Genomic DNA, 24,518 nt, shown 5'->3' on the forward strand with positions numbered 1-24,518 from the left:
CTCACTGCAACCTCTGCCTCCCGGGTTCAAGCAATTCTTTCGCCTCAGCCCCCCGAGTACTGGGACTACAGGCACGCGTCACCATGCCCAGCTAATTTTTGTATTTTTAGTAGAGACAGGGTTTCACCAGGTTGGCCAGGATGGTCTCGATCTCTTGACCTCGTGGTCCGCCCTCCTTGGCCTCCCAAAGTGCTGGAATTACAGGCGTGAGCCACCGTGCCCAGCCGATATATACTTTAAAATATTTTTAACTGTAATTTTAATCCCATGGCATCTTAATTTAATGGTTTTTGTCACCACAAAACCGGTGTTTGCAGATCATGAAGCAAAGATACATGTGTCCTTTGTCTCCAAGGTGCTGGCTTTTGACATGCTGTGAAACTGCCCCAAGGGACAGTCAGATAAAACAAATTACTTGCTTCAGAAGCAAACCCTGTCTGTCAAGTTATTGGATACAAGCTGAGACCCCAGAGCCCTGCTCACAGATAAGTATTCAGTGGAGAAAGTAGGAAGATTACTATAAGTCTGAAGTTAAATATCCTCTTTTTCCGACCTCCAGTAAAGGGAAATGTATTTTGGAACTTATGTAAAAATGTCTTTGTGATTTTTGCCTTAGAAAACAAACCTGACTCCTTTGTTTTAAGTCCAAGGGCTGATGGTCCACCCCCAGGGATGGGGGGTGTGTCCTGTCACACAGGAGGTGGTGCTTTGTGTGGCTTCCAGTCTCTGCTGGCTCTTTAGGAGTTCAATTTGGGAAAGGGAAAAATAAGGCAACTTAAGTTGCTGCCATCAGTTCCTGGGATGAATGGCTAAGTGATGATGCTGATGAACAATTTGCAGCTAAGAGGCTGTTTGGGAGTTGAAGAATAGCCCATGATTGCAGATAAACACCACCTGCCATGCTGTCCACCGCAGCCCCCCTTCTACTTGGGAGGCAGAGGTTCTCCTTTTCCTTCTCTCTCCATTGCTTTTATGCTAATGCTTTAGAGCTGGATGAGAAAACCGGATTTATAGAAAGTCTAGTTGGTTCCTCTGGCAAAAGCCATTTCCAATTGAAGCTTGTCTACATTTTAACTAAATCAGAAAAATGGTGGCTGCAGAGGCTCTTTAAAAAAAAAAAGAAAAAATTATTGGCCGGGCGCGGTGGCTCACGCCTGTAATCCCAGCACTTTGGGAGGCCGAGGGGGGCAGATCACGAGGTCAGGAGATCGAGACCATCCTGGCTAACACGGTGAAACCCCATCTCTACTAAAAATACAAAAAATTAGCTGGGCGTGGTGGTGGGCGCCTGTAGTCGCAGCTACTCGGGAGGATGAGGCAGGAGAATGGCTTGAAAACCCAGGAGGCGGAGCTTGCAGTGAGCCGAGACTGAGCCACTGCACTCCAGCTTAGGCGACAGAGCCAGACTCCACCTCAAAAAAAAAAAAAAAAAAAAAAAAGTTTACCCTACTTTCAAGCCAACGAGTTATTTTTTTGTTTATTATTATTATTTTATTTATTTATTTGCTTTTTGCAGAGGCTCTTTCCTGGTCCTTGATGGTCCCCTTTGTGTGGACTGTGGACATCATGATTGTTGGAATGCAGATTCCATGGCCCTACACCGGATCCCTGGTAGGCTGGGAATCTGCATTTTGACAAGCTTGCCTAGGTGATTTCATAAACTCTAAGGCAGTGGGTCCTAAACCTAGGTGAGCCTCATAATTAATTGGAGGGTGTTAAAAACTATAGATCATCAAGCCCTGGTCCCTGGAGATCCCGATTCCACAGGCCAGAATCTGTGGAAGAGTTCTTGCAAGGGACTCATGGAAGCAGCCAGGTCTAGGAATTACTACCTTAAGGAAATTACTGGAGGTGAAATATTCAGACTCTCTTATTCATTCTACAAGACCTAGAGCAGAAGAGGCCAGAAGGGGGCCGGAGGTGCCAGGATCCTTTCTGGGGCTGCCTTTGTGTTTATCTTTGGACCTGGGCTGATTGCTTGGAACCAGGCAAGCAGTAACTACAGAGTTTAGAAGCACTTTGGATCAGCCCCTCATTTGCTTGTGGGAGGGAATTGCAACCGCAGACACTCGTTTCATCACTGAGCATGTCTGAGCTGGGGGAGGATATGGGGTGGGATGGCAAGGGCATTGGACTAAGCAGGCCTAAAATATTTTGGGTTTTTTTGTTGTTGTTGTTGTTGTTTGAGATGGGGGTCTTGCTATGTTGCCCAGGCTGGTTTCAAACTCCTGTGCTCAAATGATCTGGCCTCAGACGCCTGAGTAGCTGAGACTGCAGGTGCACACCACTGTGCCCGGCTAGAAAATGTTTACTCTAAGTTTAGTCAATTCTGTCAACTTGAGCAACTTTACCTAATGTCTCTGATCTTCAGAGTTTTTATTCGTAAAATGAATATAACTCTCATTGTAAACATTATATACGGCCAGGTGCGGTGGCTCACGCCTGTAATCCCAGCACTTTGGGAGGTTGAGACGGGCATATCACGAGGTCAGGAAATCGAGACCATCGTGGCTAACACAGTGAAACCCCATCTCTACTAAAAATACAAAAAAAAATTTACCGGGCCTGGTAGCAGGCGCCTGTGGTCCAAGCTACTCGGGAGGCTGAGGCAGGAGAATTGGCGTGAACCCAGGAGGTGGAGCTTGCAGTGAGCCGAGATCGCACCACTGCACTCCAGCCCTGGTGACAGAGCGAGACTCCATCTAAAAAAAAAAATTTATATACAATTTATTAATATAACAAAGAATGGAAATAATAAATAGCACTATGGCAATGCACTAAATCACAGAAATGCAAATTCAAACCAACTTGAAGTATAATTTCACATACATGGACGGTTTTTTTTTTTTTTTTGAAATGGAGTCTCACTCTGTCACCCAGGCTGGAGTGCAGTGGCATGATCACAGCTCACTACAGCCTCTGCCTCCCAAGTTCCAGCAATTCTCCTGCCTCAGCCTCCCAACTAGCTAGGACTACAGGTGCCCACCACCACACCTGGCTAATTTTGTATTTTTAGTAGAGACAGGATTTCACCATGTTGGCCAGGCTGGTCTCAAACTCCTGACCTCAGGTGATCCCCCCGCCTCGGCCTCCCAAAGTGCTGGGATTACAGGCGTGAGCCACCGCACCCAGCCAAGATTTTTAATATTAAAGTAGTCTGGGTGTGGTTCATGCTACTGGATAGGTTACACTCTATACAAATGAAGGATTCTGCCCAGGACCAATAAGAGGCAGAGCTCTGCCCAGGACCAATCAAAGGCATCCCATCTGTGACCTATGAGCAAATGAAGGTTTCAGAATGGACCATTTACAGAAATTCCCGTTTTTGACATAAGGGAGGGGAGGTTCAGAGAGGGAAGGGCCTATCCAGTGGCTCATGCCTGAAATCCCAGCATTTTGAGAGGCTGAGGCTGGAGGATGGCTTGAGGCCAGGAGTTTGAGGCTGCAATTGAGGCAGGAGAATAGTGTCTGGAGGCAGGAAACCTAAGGCCAACCCACAGCTGCCTTCTTGGAATTGGACTGAAAGAAAAACCCCACCTTTCCATGACCAAGTGATGAGGGGCCAAAGGCCCCTCTCTCTCTGAACCTCCCCTCCCTTATGTCAAAAATGGGAATTTCTGTAAATGGTCCATTCTGAAATCTTCATTTGCTCATAGGTCACAAGTGGGATGCCTCTGATTGGTCCTGGGCAGAGTTCTGCGTCTTATTGGTCCTGGGCAGAATCTTTCATTTGTATAGAGTGTAACCTATCAGACGCTGCTAAAGGGTGCTTAGGGGTGTTACCATGCTCTTTCAATTCAATGAAAACCCCAAGAAACTTTACAATCAGGGTTCTTGAGCCACTCTGTGGAGTGCACTTTCACTTCAATAAATGTATGCTTTCATCTTCTATTGTTTTGTCTGTGCATTTTGTTCAATTCTTTGTTCAACACGCCAAAAACCTGGACAACTCAGTCAAGGCTTCCCATCCTATAACACAATGAGCTATGATTGTGCCACTGCACTCAGTCTGGGCGACAGAGTGAGACCCTGCCTCTACAATAATAATAATAATAAAATAAAAGTAGATTTGTGCAATGGAACACTATGCAGGCATTAAAAAAATCATTCATTATGAAGACCATGTAGCAACAAGGAAAACATTTATAAATGTTTAGTGAAAATAGCAGAACCCCAGATGGTATACCCTTTGACTATAACCGTGCACACTGAGAGAGAGCATGTAGACAGGGCCAGGAGGTAACATGCAAAACAGGGTAGTTGTGCAGAGGATAGGCTTATAGTTACTTTTTTCTTTGCCAAAATTAAAAACAATTTTACTGTTACATTCTTTTTTCATAATAGGAATGACTAATTCCTGCCCTTCTACCATGCTGGCTTGTTCAGCGGACCAAATGAAAAACTGAGAAAACTGTTGTGTCTTCCCGTAGGATGTTGGAGTGAATCTACCATGCATGACTCATGTTTCCATCCCTATCATCCTGGGTAGGGAAGCACCAAGCTGAGGACTCTGGATCCTTTCAGGCTCTAATGACAATGCACATCCAGCATTTGTGGAGTATGTATACAGTTGTCTGGGCCAACTACTGTGGGAAGAGGAAAAGAAGTCACATTGCTACTGGTCATCAAGAGCTCACAAAATAGATGTAGACATCATTTGGGGCTATCTACTTATCCTAGTGATTCTCAACTGAGGTTGATACTTAAATTTTTTTTTTTCATTTTCTTTTTTTTTTAAGTTTCAAGAGGTTGATACTTTTGATTGTCACAATGATTGGCTTTTGATTGTCACAATGATTGGGAGCGTTATTACCACTCACATATAGTAAATGAAGGATGGGATAGTCCTACACAAAAAATTATCTAGCTCCAAATGTCCTCAGTGTCTCTGATGAGAAACACTGATCTAGTCCATAGTCAGGGCTGCCAGGTATGGGTGTGCAGGTTGCCCACTGTACAACTCTTAAGGGAACCATTCACCTGGTGGCTAAGTGTGTCAATTCTGAAACCATACTGCCTGAGTTCCAGTGCCAACTGGAACTGCCCCCCACCCCCTACTTCTTTTTTTTTTTTTGAGACCGAGTCTTTCTCCACCACCCAGGCTGCAGTCCAGTGGCACAGTCACAGCTCACTGCAGACTCTACCTCCCGGGCTCAAGTGATTCTCCTACCTCAGCCTCTTGAATAGCTGGGACCACAGGCACCACCACCACACCTGGTTACTTTTTAAATTTTTTGTAGAGATAAGGTCTCCCTATGTTGCCCAGGCTGGACTCAAAACTCTGAGGCTCAGGTGATCCTCCTGCCTCGGCCTCCCAAAGTGCTGGGATTACAGGTGTGAGCCACCGGACCTGGCCTGGAAGCTCTTGAACATATTGCTTATCTTCTGTGGACCTCAGTTTCCTCATTTATAAAATGGGAAGAGCAATAGTAATATAACTCATACTGATAACATAAGAATATGTTATCAATAATATATGTTCCTGCACATAGCAGACATTCAATTCATGTTCAATGATTATTATTCTCTGAGATCTGACTTCCCCATTGACTGGGGTGGGGCCCTGGTGTCTACTCCCTGATAAAGACCACGTATGCCTGGATTCCTGCTCTCCCTGAGGCTTAACTTTCCTGGTTCCACCTGTAATCTCATTGAGAACTCCCATTGTTGCCTAAACTTGCTTGAGATGGTTTTTGTAATCTACAACCAGAAGTCTTAATTACTAAGACAAGGTGAAAAGACTCACCTGTAGGAAACACAGTAGATAATACAAAAGGGCTTTCAAGTTAGTGTGAGACTGCTTGGCATAGAAAGACGATAAATGCCACAGACAAAACCTAATCGTAACTGAAATAAATAAATTCGAACAACAAATTGTTAAGTGAATGGAATGCAGCTAGCTAGGATCTCATGCTCTGTTCTAAGAAAACAGACAGGTCAAACAATCAGGACCAGTCCAGACATGTGTCTGGGAAGTTAAAGGAAAGAGACCCTGTCCCTCAAAACCTTCCTTACTAGTGACTCATGTCTTCGTTTACCAGGAGGTCTTCTTTGAAAATATGAATGTTTCTGGGAAGGGTAATCCAGAAACCTACTGAGGCTCACCCTACTAGGAATGTATTTACCATTTTTCTTTTCTTTCATGTCTGTTCATTGAGAACACAGAGAATGTATTTATTCAGTGACTTTCTCTCTCCTCCACTTCCCAACCCCAGCTACAAATGGGGACAGCAAGAGAGAGAAAACCTGGGGAGAACGGAAGAAACCATGCTTTGTAGAATGGATCCTGCTTCAGAATTGCTGATCTCATCAACCACATGTTTATAGAGAGAGCAGTGGCCCTTAAGGAACTGGAGAGAATGCTCTGATTTACTTCTGTCCGGCATGGTGAACAGCAGGATTGGCTGTAGCTGTTCTCTTTGCCAAGGACAGATCTGATCTGATTGCCTTGAGGTGAAAGTGAGGTAAGGTGGGGCGGGGATTAGCTTTTGGCTCCCAAGAATGGTTGTTCATCAACCTTTTGCTAAGCCCGTGGTTCTCAAATTTTGCTGCATGTTAGAATCACCTGGGAAGCTTTAAAAAAACATCTCAGTACCCAGGTTGTACCTCAGACCAATTAAATCTGAATGCCTGGGGGCGGTTGCCAGGCATCAGAAGTTTTCAAAGACCTCCCCCAACCAGGTGGTTCCTGGACATGTACCCACGTCCGGGAACCACTGTCCTCAGCATTTATTGTATGAGGCAACTTAGGTGACACACAACAGGTGAGAACCTGGCTCCTGCCTTTCGGACACAGGACTTAATTTTTTTTTTATTTTTTAAATTATGCAGTAAAATTTTTTCTGTTGGTGTACAGGTCTATGAATTTTTTTATACTGAGTTTTTCATACTGCCTGAGTACAATTTAATGGTATACCATAAAGTATACCATAATTTTATGGTATACCGTAACATTTTACATACCATAATTTTATTTTTATAAAGTATACCCACAATTTTATGGTATACCATAAAACTAGTATAGTATACCACAAAATTTACCCTTTTAAATTATACAATTCAATGCTCACTTCAGCAGCACATATACTAAAATTGGAATGATACAAAGAAAATTAGCATGACCCTTGCTCAAAGATGACACTGTAATTTGTGAAGTGTTCCATATTTAAAAAAAAATTTTTTTTAAAGTGTACAACTCAGCCATATGCAGTGGTTCCCACCTGTAATCCCAGGGTTTTGAGGCCAGGCACGGTGGCTCACGCCTATGATCTCAACACTTTGGGAGGCCGAGGTGGGTAGATCACCTGAGGTCAGGTGTTCAAGACCAGACTGTCCAATATGGTGAAACATCATCTCTACTAAAAATACAAAAACTAGCCGGGCATGGTGGTGTGTGCTTGTAATCCCAGCTACTCGGGAGCCTGAGGCGAGAGAATCGCTTGAACCCAGGAGGCGGAGGTTGCAGTGAGCCAAGATTGTGCCACTGCTCTCCAGCCTGGGTGACAGAGCAAGACTCTGTCTCAAAAAAAAAAAAAAAGGCTGGGTGTGGTGGCTCACACCTGTAATCCCCAGTACTTTGGGAGGCCGAGGCGGGCAGATCACCTGAGGTCAGGATTTCCAGACCAGCCTGACCAACATGGTGAAACCCCATCTCTACTAAAAATACAAAATTAGCCGGGCATGGTGGCGCATGCCTGTAATCCCAGCTGCTCAGGAGGCTGAGGCAGGATAATTGCTTGAACCCGGGAGGTGGAGGTTGCGGTGAGCCAAGATCTCGCCATTGCACTTCAGCCTAGGCAAGAAGAGTGAAGCTCTGTCTCAAAAAAAACAATCCCAGGGTTTTGGGATGCCTAGGCGGAGGCTCACTTGAGGCCAGGAGTTTGAGACCAGCCTGGGCAATGCAGCGAGACCCTGTCTCTACCAATAAATGAATGAATGAATAAATAAATAAATAAATAAATAAATAAATAAATAAATAAATAAAATTAGCTGGGGATGGTGGCAAGTGCCTTTAATCCTAGCTGCTCAGGAGGCTGAGACAGGAGGATTGCTTGAGCCCAAGAGTTTGGGGTTACAGTGAGCTATGATCACGTCACTACACTCTGGCTAGGGTGACAGAGAAAGACCTTGTCTCTAAAAAAGAGAGGAAAACAAGTTACCAAATTATACAATTATCTGTTCAGACCTAGATTTACAAGAAAAAAAATGTAAAATTTCGTGTTTTTAGTATATTTGTAAAGTTGTGCCACCATCACCAGTAATTCCAGAACATTTTTATCTCGTCTCCCCAAAATACCCCGAATCCACAGTAGCTTCTCCCCATTTCCCCTTCCGCCCACCCCCTGGCAAATACGAGCCATAGAGACTCTCTCCCTCTATGGCTTTGCCTACTCTTGATATGTCACATAAATGAAATCACACAATCTGTGGCCTTTTATGTCAAGCTTATTTCACTTAGCATGCTGTTTTCAGGGTTTATCTGTGTTGTAGCATGTATTAGTACTACATTCCTTTTTATTGATGAATAATATTCCATTGTATGGATATACCACATTTCATTTATCTATTCATCAGCTGATGGACATTTGGGTTGTTTGCACTTTTTGGCTATTGTGAATAATGCGGCTATAAACATTCTTGTACAAGTTTTTGTGTGAATGTATATTTTCATTTTCTTGGTCTTGGATACTTTTTTTTTTTTCTGAGACGGAGTCTTGCTCTGTCGCCTAGGCTGGAGTACAGTGGTGCAATCTCGGCTCACTGCAACCTCTGCCTGCTGAGTTCAAGCAATTCTCCTGCCTCAGCCCCCCAAGTAGCTGGGATTACAGATGTGTACCACCACACCCGGCTACTTTTTATATTTTTATTAGAGACAGGGTTTTGCCATATTGGCCAGACTGATCTTGAACTCCTGACCTCAAGTGATCTGCCTGCCTTGGCCTCCCAAAGTGCTGGGATTACAGGCATGAGCCACCGAAACCGACCCATAAATCTTTTTATATAGGTGTGATTTCAGCTTAACATTAGTAAAAAAAAATTTCATAAATTTCTTTTCATTTGAGCTATTTTGCAATAGAATGAATGACTGGCTGCTTCACTGGGACTATTAATTCTACAAATATTTATTGAATGCCTACTATATGCCAAGCATTGTTTTTCTCCCATTTGGTGATTATTTATACTTTTATTTTTAGTTTACATGTAATGATTGTACATATTTATGGGATTCAGATTGATACTTCTTTTTTGTTTGTTTGTTTGAGACAGTCTCGCCCTGCCTCCCAGGCTGGAGTGCAGTGGTACAATTATGGCTCCCTGCAGCCTTGACCTCCCAGGCTCAAGTGATCCTCCCACCTCAACCCCCTGAGTAGTTGGGACCACAGATGTGTGCCACCATGCCCAACTAATTAAAAAAAAATTTGGTAGAGACAAGGTCTCACTATGTTGCCCAGGCTGGTCTCCAACTCCCGGGGTCAAGCAATCCTCCTGCCTTGGCCTCCCAAAGTGTTGGGATTTCAGGTTTGAGTGACTGTACATGATGATTATTTCTTTTTTAAAAAATTATTTTTATTTTTTTGTAGAGATGAGGTCTTGCATATTGCCCAGGCTGGGCGAACTCCTGGCCTCAAGCAATCTTCTTGTCTCAGTAATTGTATTGAAAGTGACCCATTACAGGCATGAGCCACCTCGCCTGGCTGTTGAACATCTTTTCATGTGCCTATCTGCCATCTTAATATTCTCTTTGGTGAAGTATTTGTTTACATCTTTTGCTCATTTTTAAAGTCAGTAATCTGTTTTCTTATTTAGGTATGAGAGTTCATTATAAATTCTGGTTTTTGTTTGTTTGTTTTTGTTTTGTTTTGTTTTTGAGACAGAGTTCTGCTCTTGTTGCCCAGGCTGGAGTACAATGGTGTAATCTTGGCTCACTGCAATCTCCGCCTCCCAGATTCAAGTGATTCTCCTGCCTCAGCCTCTTGAGTAGCTGGGATTACAGGCACCCGCCACCACGCCCAGTTAATTTTTATATTTTTAGTAGAGATGGAGTTTTGCCATGTTGGCCAGGCTGGTCTCAAACTCCTGACCTCAGGTGATCCACTCTCCTCGACCTCTCAAAGTGCTGGGATTACAGGCATGAGCCACCGCGCCTGGCCCATTATAAATTCTGGATACAAATCCTGTGTTGCACATATGATTCGTAAATATTTTCTCTTAGTCTGTGTTTTGGACACAATACTTTTTGTACATGTGTCTGATGAGAGAAAGGTATGGAATTAACATTTACTGAGCACCTACTATGTGCTGGACGTTGTAGTGGATTGCTGGAGGAATAGGGATATAAGTAAGATAGAGTCCCTATCCTCAAGAGAGGTTTCCTGGAGGAGGGGTGAAGTTTGGACACTACTGTCTATACTACAGGCAGAAATTTTTGTAGAGACGGGGTCTCACTATGTTGTCCAGGCTGGTCTTGAGCTCTTGGGCTCAGGCGATCCTCTGAGCCACAATAAGGTAGAAGAGGGAAATGTAGAGCCAAGTGGTTACAAGTAAGGACTTTGGAGTCAGTTTGTCTGGTCCCAGCTGCAGCACTTACCACCTGTATGTCCTTGGGCAAGTTACTAAATCTCTCAGTACCTCGGTTTCTTCATTAGCAAAATTAGGGCAGTAATAATGCCCATGGAAGGGCTGGGGGTACGAAATGAGAGGGTGTAGGTGGCAAAGGGAAACTCTCCACTCTTATCTACTGTATTATCATTTATTTGGGTAGCAACGTTGTTCTGTGGCCATCAGGGGAAGCTACCCTCCACCTCCTGGAGGAGGTGTCATTGGAGCTGAACCTCAAGGCCTGGAAAGACTTCCAGAAGCTGAGATGGGTGCATTGAAGTGGTGGAAGCTGCTCTTTAGAACCTATATTTTGCCCCAAACCATATATTCCTCCCCAAAGAGAGAAGTTTTCCTCTTTCTTGTTCCATCCCCTCCTCTCTTCATCCTGCGCTGTCCTCTCATCAAGTCTTTTTCTTTCTTTTCCCTGTCTCTCCTTCTCACCTGCCAGAGGCTTCTATGGGCCCCTCTTGTGTCCTTGGCCTTATGAAGTCACCGACACTTGGGTTATGGGCTGCTGCTCTGAGGCTGCAGGGTCACCTTCGGCCCCTCGATGGGGACTTTACACTCTACTCCAAACAGAAGCAGGATGCTGTCTTGGGGATTCTTTCCCCCTGCAGTCTGGTGCCCTGGTGCCAGTGCTCAGGGAATGAATTTAGTGCTGGGTCACTTCCAGTACAAATTATTGAGCAATTTTCTGTGTGGACATCAGGCCTATGTTGAGACAACAGCTCTGCCAGTTCGAGCTTGTTCCGTTAATAATTTACTGGCGGAGAAATGGGAGTTAAATGAGCCAGGAGGCATATTTTGCATGAACTTTGAGGGTACCTCTGACAGCAGTTCATGTAATTTGTCCGGGAAGATACTAAAGCTGTCTGAAATCTAATGTCCTGCCTGCCACACTGACCCTTTGGATCCATTTTATTAACACAGTTGGCTTTGATTTATGTTTATTTTATTGCTTTGGTTTCTCTTCTGAACTCATAACCAGAGTGGTGGTGCATGTGGAAAATGGCTCTGTGAAGAATTAGGTTCCCAGGTGTGCTTGTGGAAGGAAACCTAGCAGCAGCTGTGGGTTTTTCTCGGCTTTGCAGGACTGGGATGTCTTGTGGCAAAACTGCCCCTTTCTGAGTGACTGGCCACTGTGTGTGTGCAAGGCCAGCACCATTGATGTGTGACCTGTGCAGTTAAGCAGGGCCCCATGTTTAGAAGGACCCCCTGCTTGATTTAATGCTCTGCTGTCACCATTTAAACGTCTTAATAATTTAGAAACAAGGAGTCATCCTTTTTTTTTTTTGAGGCAGAGTTTTGCTCTTGTCGCCCAGGCTGGAGCGCAATGGCGCGATCTCAGCTCACTGCAACCTCTGCCTCCTGGGTTCAAGCGATTCTCCAGCCTCAGCTTCCCAAGTAGCTGGGATTACAGGCACCTGCCACCACGCCTGGCTAATTTTTGTATTTTTAGTAGAGACGGGGTTTCACCATGTTGGCTGGGCTGGTCTCAAACTCCTGACCTCAAGTGATCCACCCACCTCGGCCTCTCAAAGTGCTGGGATTACAGGCATGAGCCACCATGCCTGGCTGGATTCATACATTTTATACTGGCCCCTGAAAATTCTGTAACCAGCCCTGAGTGTGTGCCATGGTCCACATTCCCAATTCTTTATGTTGAACCTAGGTGATTCGCCAAGTTTATTCTGTTCTTTCTGGGGCCATCCCAAAATCCTTAAGGAGGCTATGGCAACTCTGTCCCAGTGTCTTACAGGCCCACCAGCCAAGATATCTGAAAACACATACAGATAAAAAGTTTGCTTAAAAAAAATCAGTTACGGCCTCTTCCCGGCCACCATCCCATCTAGGAAGTGAGGAGCGTCTCTGCCCGGCCACCCATCGTCTGAGATGTGGGGAGCGCCTCTGCCCCGCCGCCCCGTCTGGGATGTGAGGAGCGCTTCGGCCCGGCCGCGACCCCGTCTGGGAGGTGAGGAGCGTCTCTGCCCGGCCGCCCCGTCTGAGAAGTGAGGAGACCCTCCACCTGGCAACTGCCCCATCTGAGAACGGCATTCCAGATTTTTCTGCAGTCCAGAATAGAGCACCACCACCATAGCATTTCAAGCTCATTCTAAGTTCATCTTATCAATGACAAGAGGAGACACGTTGTTCATTCATGTATGAGGTAGTACTTTCCAATTGAAGACATTGCTTTGAAAGAGACTGCCAAATTGGTTTCATTGAGAAGGAATGAAAGAAGCTAAAAGGCTTTCACCTGAGATTTGACAATAGCCAGAAAACCTCTGTTAATAATGAATGTTTCCCTATCTGCAAAGTGAAGATATGTTTCAATGCTTCAACGCATAGGAAGTCTGTAGAACAGTGCAAAGAATATACAGGCATACCTTGAAGATATTACAGTTTTGGTTCCAGACCATCATAAAAAGGTGGATATTGCAATAAGGCTGGAGTGCAGTGGCGTGATCTCGGCTCGCACAACCTCCACCTCCCAGCCGCCTGCCTTGGCCCCCCAAAGTGCCGAGATTGCAGCCTCTGCCCGGCCGCCACCCCGTCTGGGAAGTGAGGAGCGTCTCTGCCTAGCCGCCCATCGTCTGGGATGTGAGGAGCCCCTCTGCCTGGCTGCCCAGTCTGGAAAATGAGGAGCGTCTCTGCCCGGCCGCCATCCCATATAGGAAGTGAGGAGGGCCTCTTCCCGACAGCCATCCCATCTAGGAAGTGAGGAGCGTCTCTGCCCGGCCGCCCATCGTCTGAGATGTGGGTAGCACCTCTGCCCCGCCACCCCGTCCGGGATGTGAGGAGCGCCTCTACCCGGCCGCGACCCTGTCTGGGAGGTGAGGAGCGTCTCTGCCCGGCCGCCCCGTCTGAGAAGTGAGGAGACCCTCCGCCTGACAACCGCCCCGTCTGAGAAGTGAGGAGCCCCTCCACCCGGCAGCCTCCCCGTCAGAGAAGTGAGGAGCCCCTCCGCCCGGCAGCCACCCCGTCTGGGAAGTGAGGAGCGTCTCCGCCCGGCAGCCACCCCGTCCGGGAGGGAGGTGGGGGGGTCAGCCAGCCGCCCCGTCCAGGAGGGAGGTGGGCGGGTCAGCCCCCTGCCCGGCCGGCCGACCCGTCCAGGAGGGAAGTGGGGGGGTCAGCCCCCCGCCCGGCCAGCCGCCCCGTCCGGGAGGTGAGGGGCGCCTCTGCCCGGCCGCCCCTACTGGGAAGTGAGGAGCTCCTCTGCCCGGCCAGCCGCCCCGTCCGGGAGGGAGGTGGGGGGGTCAGCCCCCCGCCCGGCCAGCCGCCCCGTCCGGGAGGGAGGTGGGGGGGTCAGCCCCCCGCCTGGCCAGCCTCCCCGTCCGGGAGGTGAGGGGCGCCTCTGCCTGGCCGCCCCTACTGGGAAGTGAGGAGCCCCTCTGCCCGGCCAGCCCCCCCGTCCGGGAGGGAGGTGGGGGGGTCAGCTCCCCGCCCGGCCAGCCGCCCCGTCCGGGAGGGAGGTGGGGGGGTCAGCCCCCCGCCCGGCCAGCCGCCCCGTCCGGGAGGGAGGTGGGGGGGTCAGCCCCCCGCCTGGCCAGCCTCCCCATCCGGGAGGTGAGGGGCGCCTCTGCCTGGCCGCCCCTACTGGGAAGTGAGGAGCCCCTCTGCCCGGCCGCCACCCCGTCTGGGAGGTGTGCCCAGCAGCTCATTGAGAACGGGCCATGATGACAATGGCGGTTTTGTGGAACGGAAAGTGGGGAAAGGTGGGGAAAAGACTGAGAGGTTGGATGGTTGCCGTGTCTGTGTAGAAAGAGGTAGACATGGGAGACTTCTCATTTTGTTCTGTACTAAGAAAAATTATTCTGCCTTGGGATCCTGTTGATCTGTGACCTTACCCCCAACCCTGTGCTCTCTGAAACATGTGCTGTGTCCACTCAGGGTTAAATGGATTAAGGGCGGTGCAAGATGTGCTTTGTTAAACAGATGCTTGAAGGCAGCATGCTCGTTAAAAGTCATCACCACTCCCTAATCTCAAGTACCCCGGGACACAAACACTGCGGAAGGCCGCAGGGTCCTCTGCCTAGGAAAACCAGAGACCTTTGTTCACTTGTTTATCTGCTGACCTTCCCTCCACTATTGTCCTATGACCCTGCCAAATCCCCCTCTGCGAGAAACACCCAAGAATGATCAATAAAAAAAAATAAAAAAGAAAAAAAAAAAAAAAAGAAACTATCCAATCCTCAGCCTGCTCGGCTGCTTACTCTGTTTCACCCATGCCTTCTGTGAAAACAACAGTAAAGGTTTTGCCCAGGGAAAAAAAAAAAAAATCAGTTACTGCTCGGTTCAGTGGCTCACGCCTATAATCCCAGCACTTTGGGAGGCCAAGGAGGGTATAAAGAACGTGGCTGTGTGTTGGTCAAGGATAGGCCGAGGTAGGATGTTTACATCCTGCATAACTCGCAGGTGTATAACTCTACATATTATCACAGCCATATAGCCATAACATGGGAAAGCCCTCCCTTGGCCCTACGCCACTATGGTCTGTAAAGGTATAATTGCCCTGCTGACACTGTACAGGTGCTCACACCCAGAGAAAGAGAGAGAGTCAAAGCTGTCCATCTTGAGATGGACAGGAGGGAGCCAGGACACAGCTCAGCTCGCTCGTGCCCAGAGAGAGAAAGAGTTAAGCCGCTAACCCTGAAGGCAAGGGAGAGCCAGCTGTGTGCAGCTGCGTGTGAGAGCCGTTGTACTAAGCAGCTGAGACAGGGAGGATAGTGTGAGAAAGTTGTTAATGAAAGTTGCTGCTGAATAAAATAATCTTTCACCTGCCTACGGCCTCCTGAGTATTCTTTCTGCTCATCCACCCACTTCCCTCAGACCTCAGCATGACAATTGGCGTAGTCATAGACCTAACAGCGGGCAGATCACTTGAACTCAGGAGTTCGAGACCAGCCTGTCCAAGATGGTGAAACCCCATCTCTATCAAAAAGATACAAAAATTAGCCAGGCATGGTGGTGTGCGCCTGTAGTCCCAGCTACTCAGGAGGCTGAGGTGAGAGGATCACTTGAACCCGGGAGGCAAAAGTTGCAGTGAGCTGAGATTGTACTACTGCACTCCAGCCTGGGCAAGAGAGTCCCTGTCTCAAAAAAACAAAAAAAACAAAAAAAACAAAAAAAAAAAGAAAAGAAAAAAAATCAGTTAAGTATAGATATATTTCAAAATTCAAAAAGTACAGAAGGCCAGCCTGGGCAACATGGAAAACCCCCTACTCTACAAAAAATACAAAAATTAGCTGGGCATGGGGGTGCGCACCTGTAGTCCCTACTTGGGAAGCTGAGGTGGGAGGATCACCTGAGCCCAGAGGTTGAGGCTGCAGTGAGCCGAGATTGCGCCATTGCACTCCAGCCTGGGTGTAGGTTAATACTTCCCTATTATTCCCTAGTTTTCTTTTTCTTTATTTTTATTTTTATTTATTTATTTATTTATTTATTTATTTATTTATTTATTTATTTATTTTTGAGACGGAGTTTCGCTCTTGTTGCCCAGGCTGGGGTGCAATAGTGCAATCTCGGCTCACTGCAGCCTCTGCCTCCTGGGTTCAAGTGATTCTCCTGCCTCAGCCTCCCGAGTAGCTGGGATTACAGGCATACGCCACCACGCCCAGCTAATTTTGTATTTTTAGTAGAGACAGGGTTTCTCCATGTTTGTCAGGCTGATCTCAAACTCCTGACCTCAGGTGATCTGCCTGCCTCGGGCTCCCAAAGTGCTGGGATTACAGGTGTGAACCACCGCACCCGGCCTATTCCCTAGTTTTCTTGTTCCCTTTCTGCAGAAGCAAGCACTGCTACCCATCTCTGAGCATCTTGCAGAAAGTCTATGCTTTGATGAAATATATGTACATATCTCCATATTTATTGTTCTTTACCAGATGGTGGGATAAGTTGTACACTATTTTGAACCTTCCTCTTTTCACCTAACTATGCATTTTGGAAAGAATTCCAAGTCATCATATAAATCTATCTCATTATTTCTTTGGTAACAATTTCCTGTTGTTTGGATTTACCATAATTCACTTCACAGGTCCCCTATTGATGGACACTTAGGTTATTGCCTAACCTTTCCTTCTATAAACAATGCTCTTAGAATAGGCTTGCCAGATTGAGCAAATTAAAATACAAGCTGCCCAGTGTTGAATTTGAGATTCGATTTTTTTATTTGAAATTTCAATTTTGAATTTGAAATGCAGATAACAAGGAACACAGTAGAACCCCCTTATCCATAGTTTCACTTTCTGGGATTTCAGTTACACATGGTCAGCTGCAGTCTGAAAACATTAAATGGAAAATTCCAGAAATAAACAACTCATAATTTTTAAATTACATGCTGTTCTGACTAGTGTGATGAAATCTCACACCTTCCCACTGTGGCCTGCCTGGGACTTAAGTCACCCCTTTGTCCAATGTATCCATGCTGTATATGCTCTTTGCCTGTTTGTCACTTTTTGTAGCTGTCTAGGTTATCAGATTGACTATTTCAGTATTGCAGTGCTTGTGTTCAAATAACCCTTATTTTACTTAATAATGACCCCAAAGTGCAAGAGTAGTGATGCTGGCTTATTGTCATAATTGTTCTATTTTATTATTGTTGTTGCTAATCTCTCTTACTGTACCTAATTTAGAAATTAAACTTTATCATAGGTGTATGTGTGGGGAAAAAAACATAGTATATAGAGGGTTTGCTACTATCTGCAGTTTCAGGCATTTACTTGGGGTCTTGGAAAGCATCCCCCCACGATAACAGGGGACTACTGTAATTCCTTAGTATAAACACGTTTCATACTTATGACCCAAAAGGGTAGGATATTTGAGGAATAGTAATACTAAACAAAATGTTGCTGTTTATCTGAAATCCAAATTTAATAGAGAGACCTGTATTTTATCTGACAACCCTATCCTAGAACAAAGCCTGGTACATAGTAGGGGCTCAGTAAAAATTTATTGAGGCAGAGTGCTGTGGCTCAAAACCTTTGGGCACTTTGGGAGGCTGAAGTGGGGGAACTGCTTGAGCCTAGGAGTTCGAGACCAGCCTGGGCAACAAAGCGAGGCTCATCTCTATACAAAATTAAAAAAAAAAAAAATTAGCCGGATATGCTGGCATATGCCTGTAGTCCCAGCTACTTTGGAGGCTGAGGTGGGAGGATCGCTTGAACTCAGGAGTTTGAGGCTGCAGTGAACTATGATTGTGCAACTGCACTCCAGCTTGGGCAACAGAGACCCTGTCTCTAGAAAAAAAGAAAAAAATGAATGAATGAATAAATGATCCCTCTCCTGAATGAAAGCCCGTGAGGGCAGCTACTTTGTTATGTCCTCTGCGCTTTCTTCAATGTTTCTTAGGCATTTGTTCAATACCTGGACAAATGCTGTAGTGAATGTCTTCATGAACGCTTCATTTGGCCCACGAGAGAATATGTTTGTAGAATAAATTCATTTGTTTGAATGCCTGATGGATTCTGCCTAATTGCCCCTCCACAGGCCTCCAACACTTCTTAGCCAAGTTGTCCAATTGTATTCCTGCTGTCACCTAAAGTCATTTAACCTTTGGGGAACTTCCTCCCTGAGGCTGCCCTAAATGGGGTTAGGAAAGGAGCTGAAAGTGCCAACCCCATTATACCACCCCTTTATGCCCCTTCCGTCAATCCACACGAGGAAATGAGGAATTTTAGATGCAAATGGCAGGACATAACATCTGGCTCATCAGAGCCCCAGACTGTCTTGTCCCCAGAGGTGCTGAGGAGCCCAGTGGGCTCTGCCAGCTCCTAATGATATATGGTTCACATGGGTTGAGCCATCCCAGAGGCTCACTCGGTTCATTGTCCACCTGCTTCCAGTCTTACAATCTGTCACCAGCACAGGACGATTTAATCATCCTAATGAGGCTGTCACTGACAGCATGCTCCACCACCTCACAAGGGAAAGTCGGTTCTGCCTCTTCCCCCAGCCAATCTAAGCACATGTGGTCTCTGTTTGCCAACCACAGAGATGTGGGTGGAGGAGCAGCTGAGGTTACATGGAGCAGAGGGGACACAGGGTTCAGCCTTTTGAACTAGGAATTGAGAAGCTTGGATCCGATCCCTATTTCACCACTTCCTGTATTAGCTTGATGACCTTGGACAAGTTACTTACCCTCTCTGAGTATCAGTTTCCTCTGTATATTGTCCAGTGTACAGCATGGATACACTGGACAAAGGGGTGACTTAAGTCCCAGGCAGGACACAGCGGGAAGGTGTGAGATTTCATCATGCTATTCAGAACAGGATGTAATTTAAAAATTATGAGTTGTTTATTTCTGGAATATTCCATTTATTTTACTACATTTATTTCTGTAGTAAAATGGGGCTAATAGCCCTGAACTATTTTCTCATGGGTTCATCATGAAGTTAAATCAATAACTTAAGGAGGAAAAGGATGTATAAATTATGAAGCATTCTATAAATATAGAATACTTTAGGGTTGAGAGTGTGGATGGCAGACGGTCTTAATCAGCTTCCAAGCTATTGCTATTATTATTTGTACTAGTGTGGCTTCAAAATTTCTATCCAGTAGGGCATAAAGGGTGAAAACATGTAGGGTAGGAGGGGGGCTTGCCCTTTACCAAAGACTGGGGAACAGTCAGTATCAATCAATAGCACCCATCAAAGTCAGGGAGCAGGGGTGGCTGATTACAGGACGGGGGAAAGCCTCTCTAAACCATCTTTTGGGGACCCCATTGTCTCTTCCCAGGACTAGGCATTGGGGTCCTGCTCTACTGGGGTCCTCTTTCTCTATGTAGAAGCCTCTCTCGAAGCTGTTCATGGAAACAGAAGATAATAACCCCATTAGCTTCTGAAAACCTGCTATTCTAAGAAGGCAGCTGTCCAACCTAATTTAAGATGGGGCTTCTCCTACATTCTCTTGCACTTTAAGAAGCCAGTTTCTCAGCACCCTTGGGGAAGGGAGAGCCTTCCCAGAAGTGGCTGGGAAGCAGAGGAAGTGCTGAGCCCTAGGGCGAGGGAGGGTGGGTCATTCTTACATCAGTGAATGTTGAAGAGAAGGCCCTGACCCACCCCGTTCTGCCTGCCAGCTCTGGGGTGTGGCTCTGAACTCCCTTTTCCCTCTAAAGTAAATGGAAAGGTGGCAATTCACAGTTGTGTGTGTGTGTGTGTGTGTGTGTGTGTGTGTGTGTGTGCGAGAGAGAGAGAGAGAGAGAGAGAGAGAGAGAGAGACAGACAGACAGACAGAGAGAGAGAGAGACAGAGAGAGAGAGAGAGAGAGAGAGATGCAAAAGGCATCAGTGACCTGGCCTAGAGGGGCCCCTTTCTGGGAGTACCACTGAGTTTTATCACTGTGTGAAATGCCAGCAAGCTGCAAATGAAGAATAACTTTCAACATGTCCTTTCAGTGTAAATTACCCCCAAAAGCATTATGTTACACCTTTGCAGGGTGGCTGCTGGCTGCCCTGTGGAGATGCCTTTGCCAGTTGTTGGCCCTCACACCCAGAGGTGGAAAATACACAAGACTTGAAATGGGTTTGTCTAGGCTGCTTAGGGGGTGGGAGGAATTCCCTAAGTGGAGAAAACAAACAGACCTAACGAAAGCAGATCAAAACCCAGCTTACCACACATTGTTCCGCACCTGGGGGCAGAAAAAAAATCAGAGCTCTAACAAAGCAGGGAAGTGAGAGGTGGTGTTGGGATGCTGGAAAAATTTAGTATACCTATTATAGCACGTGGCTGGGTGCCTCTACTCTCTCCAGAAAGGGAAAGGTAATGCACCCAGCAGAGGAAGCCTCTGTAGTTTGGAGAGGGATGACTGGCTCCCAACATGGCAGGCAGTAGCACACCAGTGTCTCCTCACCAGCACTCTCACTTCCCTGGGAGTTTGGGATTAGAGAACTGTTCTGTTCCTTTCAGGGTCCTGTCCCAGGCACAGGAACTAGGTAAGTAGAAGGAAGTGAAAGCTTTCCTCCTCCCCGGTGCCCTAGATCCTCCTGTCCAACTACCGTTTGAAAGTTTGGGGACCTGGGGCAGGAGCAGTGGCTCATGCCTGTAATCCCAGCACTTTGGGAGGCCGAGGCAGGAGAATTGCTTGAGTTCAGGAGTTCAAGACCAGCCTCAGCGACATAGCAAGACCTTGTCTCTATAAAAAAATAAAAATAAATTATCCAGGTGTGGTGGTGTGTGCCTGTAGTCTCAGCTACTAGGGAGGCTGAGGCAGGAAGCATCACTCGGGAGATCAAGGCTGTAGTGAGCTATGCTCATCCTACTGCACTCCAGCCTAGGTGACAGAGTGAGACTCTGTATCAAAATAAATAAATAAATAAATAATAAAAGGGGGCAGGTGCAGTGGCTTATGCCTATAACACCAGCACTTTGGGAGGCCGAGGTGGGCAGATCACAAGGTCAGGAGTTTAAGACCGGCCTGGCCAATATGGTGAAACCCCGTCTCTACTAAAAATACAAAAATTAGCCGGGTGTGGTGGCGGGTGCCTGTAGTCCCAGCTACTGGGGAGGCTGAGGCAGGAGAATCACTTGAACTGGGAGGCAGAGGTTGCAGTGAGCCAAGATCACGTCACTGCACTCCATCCCGGGTGACAGCGAGACTCCGTCTCAAAAAAAAAAAAAAAAAGTTCGGGGGACCTGAGAATTTTTTCACAAAGTATGAGTTCCGCGAAGCTTTGCTTCAGCTCCACTAGCCTCTTTTTTTTTTTTTTTTTTTTTTTTTGAGATGGAGTCTCGCTCTGTCATCCAGGCTAGAGTGCAGTGGCGTGATCTTGGCTCACTGCAATCTCCACCTCCTAGGTTCAAGCAATTCTCCTGCCTCAGCCTCCTGAGTAGCTGGGATTATAGGCATGCGCCACCACACCCGGCTAATTTTTGTATTTTTAGAAGAGACGGGGTTTCACCTGTTGGCCAGGCTGGTCTCAAACTCCTGACCTCAAGTGATCTGCCCACCTCGGCCTCCCAAAGTGCTGGGATTATAGGTGTGAGCCACTGCACCCCGCCCACTAGCCTCCTTTCTATTCCTGGAAGCTGCCTTCCTGCCTCAGGGCCTTTGTACCTGCTGTTCTCCTTACCAGGCTCTTGGAGAGGCTCCACCTTCAGCTAAAGTTCCTTTCTCAAAGAAGCATCCCCTGCCCACTGCTTCTAAAATAGGATTCCCACCTCCAACCCCACAACAACTGTCATCTCTAGGAGCTGAAACATAATAAGGTCCAGTGAGCAGGGATCTCTGTCAGGCTTTGCTCATTGATGTGTCTCCAATATCTAGCACAGTACCTGGCCCATTGTTGATGCTCACTACAGCTTATTTGAATGAATGTTGGATGAATGAATGAATGAATGAATAGCCATAACCATTATTGCTATTGTCAGGGCTCAGAAAGTGATACCCCCAAAATATGGCACTTTGGCATGCTGAGTGCTTTGAATTAAAGGAGACTGGAAGGCCTCAGAGGCAAAGTCTGTCTGACTTTCTCCTGCCCTCCTGTCTTCCACTCCTTTTTCTCCCCTGAAGTGGAGAATTTCTCTTCCCGATGGCAGCTCATAGAAGCTAGAACCCCTCTCTCCCAAAGTAAGACATAAAACTTAGAAAGGTCACTCTCTTCCTTCTCCCTGGAAAACCCTCATTCCAGAGGGGTCCTGTCTCATACGAATTGGGGAGGGAAGGGGGAAGGAATGCTACACAGAGAGGCCAGGAAGAATCTGAATGGATGGATCTTGCTGGGTTTTCTCCCTCAGTCTATTGCCATTAGATCATACTCTTTTCTTTCTTTCTTTCTTTTTTGAGAAAGTGTCTCACTTTATTGCCCAGGTTAGAGTGCAGTGACACAATCATGGCTCGCTACAGCCTCAACTTCCCGGACTTAAGCAATCCTCCCACCTAAGCCCCCTGAGTAGTTGGGACTACAGGCACACACCACCATGCTTAGCTAATTAATTGTTTTTTTTGTTTTTTTGTTTTTGTAGAGACCAGAGTCTCACTATGTTGCCCAGGCTGGTCTTGAATTCCTGGGCTTAAGCAATCCCCCTGCCTCAGCCTCCCAGAATACTGGGATTACAGACATGAGCTACTACTCCTGGCTAGATCATATCCTTTTGTGCAATCACTTCTACATGGCTATCCATTCTTCATAGAATCTTAAGTGTCAAAATAGTTTTCCCTGGGTCTATTGGTCATTATTTCTGAAGGCAACCATATCATGTAAAACTTTGATTAAATTCATCTGCTATCCTTTTCTCTTGTTAATCTGTCTTTTGTTTTGAGTGTCAGCCATGGCCCTTATGATAGAAGATGAGGAAAGGTATCACACCTTTCCGCCCCATACTATCAAACACCATCCTGTTTACTTATTGATTTGTGGCCAGATTGAAAGCTCTATGAGAGCAGAGATATTTCTGTCTTGTTTTCCAATGCTTATCATCAGTGCCTGCAAGAAGAGTGCCTGAAACATAAAAAATTCTCAGTGTTTGTTGAATGTATGGTCCTGTTCAGGGACCATGTTTGTCACAGACAGATGTGTCCAGATTAAAGAGAATATCCTCTTTAGAAAAAAGGAAGAAAATGCTGATGCACAGATAGATTGGGTTGTGGTAGAGCTATTCCCATTAATCCAGAATCATTTTCTATACTACAGCATGGATTTACGGTTTCTTTGGCTAAATTTTTTTTTTTTAAAAGCTTATATATGTTTGGGAATAGACGAAGTTCCAGATAATGGATTTTTCTGTTTAAAGGAGGGCTAACAAAAATCTCTTTTTTTAGACCAGGCCCAGTGGCTCACGCCCATAATCCCAACACTTTGGGACTCTGAGGCAGGTGGATCACCTGAGGTCAGGAGTTCGAGACCAGCCTGGCCAACGTGGCAAAATCCCATCTGTACTAAAAATACAAAAATTAGCTGGGTGTGGTGGCAGGCACCTGTAATCGCAACTAGTTGGGAGGCTGAGGCAGGAGAATCTCTTGAACTCAGGAGGCAGAGGTTGCAGTGAGCCGAGATGACGCCATTGCACTCCAGCCTGGGCAACAAGAGCAAAACTCCATCAAACAACAACAACAACAAAAAACAACAACAACAAAAAACCCTCTTTTTTTAGAATGCTTCTTGTAAATTTTTATTTATTTTTATTTTTTATTTTTTTGAGACAGCATCTTGCTGTCACCCAGGCTGGAGTGCAGTGGTGCAATCAGGGCTTACTGCATGCAGCTTCGACCTCCCAAGCTCAAGTGATCCTCTCAGCTCAACCTCCTGAGTAGCTGGGACTACATATCTGGCTAATTAGAATTTTTTTTTTTTTGGTAAAGATGAGGTTTTTTTTATTATTATACTTCAAGTTTTAGGGTACATGTGCACAATGTGCAGGTTTGTTACATATGTATACATCTGCCATATTGGTGTGCTGCATCCATTAACTCGTCATTTACATTAGGTATATCTCCTAATGCTCTCCCTCCCCACTCCCCCAACCCCACAACAGGCCCCAGTGTGTGATGTTCCCCTTCCTGTGTCCATGTGTTCTCATTGTTCAATTCCCACCTATGAGTGAGAACATGTGGTGTTTGGTTTTTTGTCCTTGCGATAGTTTGCTGAGAATGATGGTTTCCAGCTTCATCCATGTCCCTACAAAGGACATGAACTCATCATTTTTTATGGCTGCATAGTATTCCATGGTGTATATGTGCCACATTTTCTTAATCCAGTCTATCATTGTTGGACATTTGGCTTGGTTCCAAGTCTTTGCTATTGTGAGTAGTGCCACAATAAACGTAAAGATGAGGTTTAACTTTGTCGCCCAAATTGTTGTTCTCAAGCTCCTGGCCTCAAGCGATCAAAGTACTGGGATTATAGATGTGAGCCACCTGGCCTGGCCTACTGTAAATTTTTTTCTTTCTTTTTTTTTTTTTGAGATGGAGTTTCACTCTTGTTGCCC

The 24,518-nt window shown here is 46.2% G+C and overlaps 1 long non-coding RNA gene, 1 other non-coding gene and 1 pseudogene across 2 annotated transcripts, besides 3 other annotated features; all 3 read left to right on the plus strand.

Moving 5' to 3' along the window:
- Window positions 222–986: an enhancer, noted in NCBI's record as "NANOG-H3K4me1 hESC enhancer chr17:41516034-41516798 (GRCh37/hg19 assembly coordinates)". NCBI's record gives its function as "activates a minimal SCP1, AML or CMV promoter by ChIP-STARR-seq in naive H9 embryonic stem cells {active_cell/tissue: H9 hESC(naive)}" and the evidence as "EXISTENCE:reporter gene assay evidence [ECO:0000049][PMID:30033119]".
- On the plus strand, window positions 6,263–12,753 carry MIR2117HG (MIR2117 host gene). Its single transcript, NR_146952.1, has 2 exons — window positions 6,263–6,464; window positions 12,453–12,753. It is a non-coding gene; the product is annotated as an MIR2117 host gene (long non-coding RNA).
- MIR2117 (microRNA 2117) lies at window positions 6,362–6,441 on the plus strand. Its single transcript, NR_031751.1, has one exon. It is a non-coding gene; the product is annotated as a microRNA 2117 (primary transcript).
- Window positions 7,063–7,169, plus strand: RNU6-406P (RNA, U6 small nuclear 406, pseudogene; annotated as a pseudogene).
- Window positions 14,043–14,817: an enhancer, noted in NCBI's record as "NANOG-H3K27ac hESC enhancer chr17:41529855-41530629 (GRCh37/hg19 assembly coordinates)". NCBI's record gives its function as "activates a minimal SCP1, AML or CMV promoter by ChIP-STARR-seq in primed H9 embryonic stem cells {active_cell/tissue: H9 hESC(primed)}" and the evidence as "EXISTENCE:reporter gene assay evidence [ECO:0000049][PMID:30033119]".
- Window positions 15,399–15,898: an enhancer, noted in NCBI's record as "H3K27ac hESC enhancer chr17:41531211-41531710 (GRCh37/hg19 assembly coordinates)". NCBI's record gives its function as "activates a minimal SCP1, AML or CMV promoter by ChIP-STARR-seq in naive H9 embryonic stem cells {active_cell/tissue: H9 hESC(naive)}" and the evidence as "EXISTENCE:reporter gene assay evidence [ECO:0000049][PMID:30033119]".

The sequence above is a fragment of the Homo sapiens genome, chromosome 17 (assembly GCF_000001405.40).
Source record: "Homo sapiens chromosome 17, GRCh38.p14 Primary Assembly".
NCBI classification, from domain to species: Eukaryota; Metazoa; Chordata; class Mammalia; order Primates; family Hominidae; genus Homo; species Homo sapiens.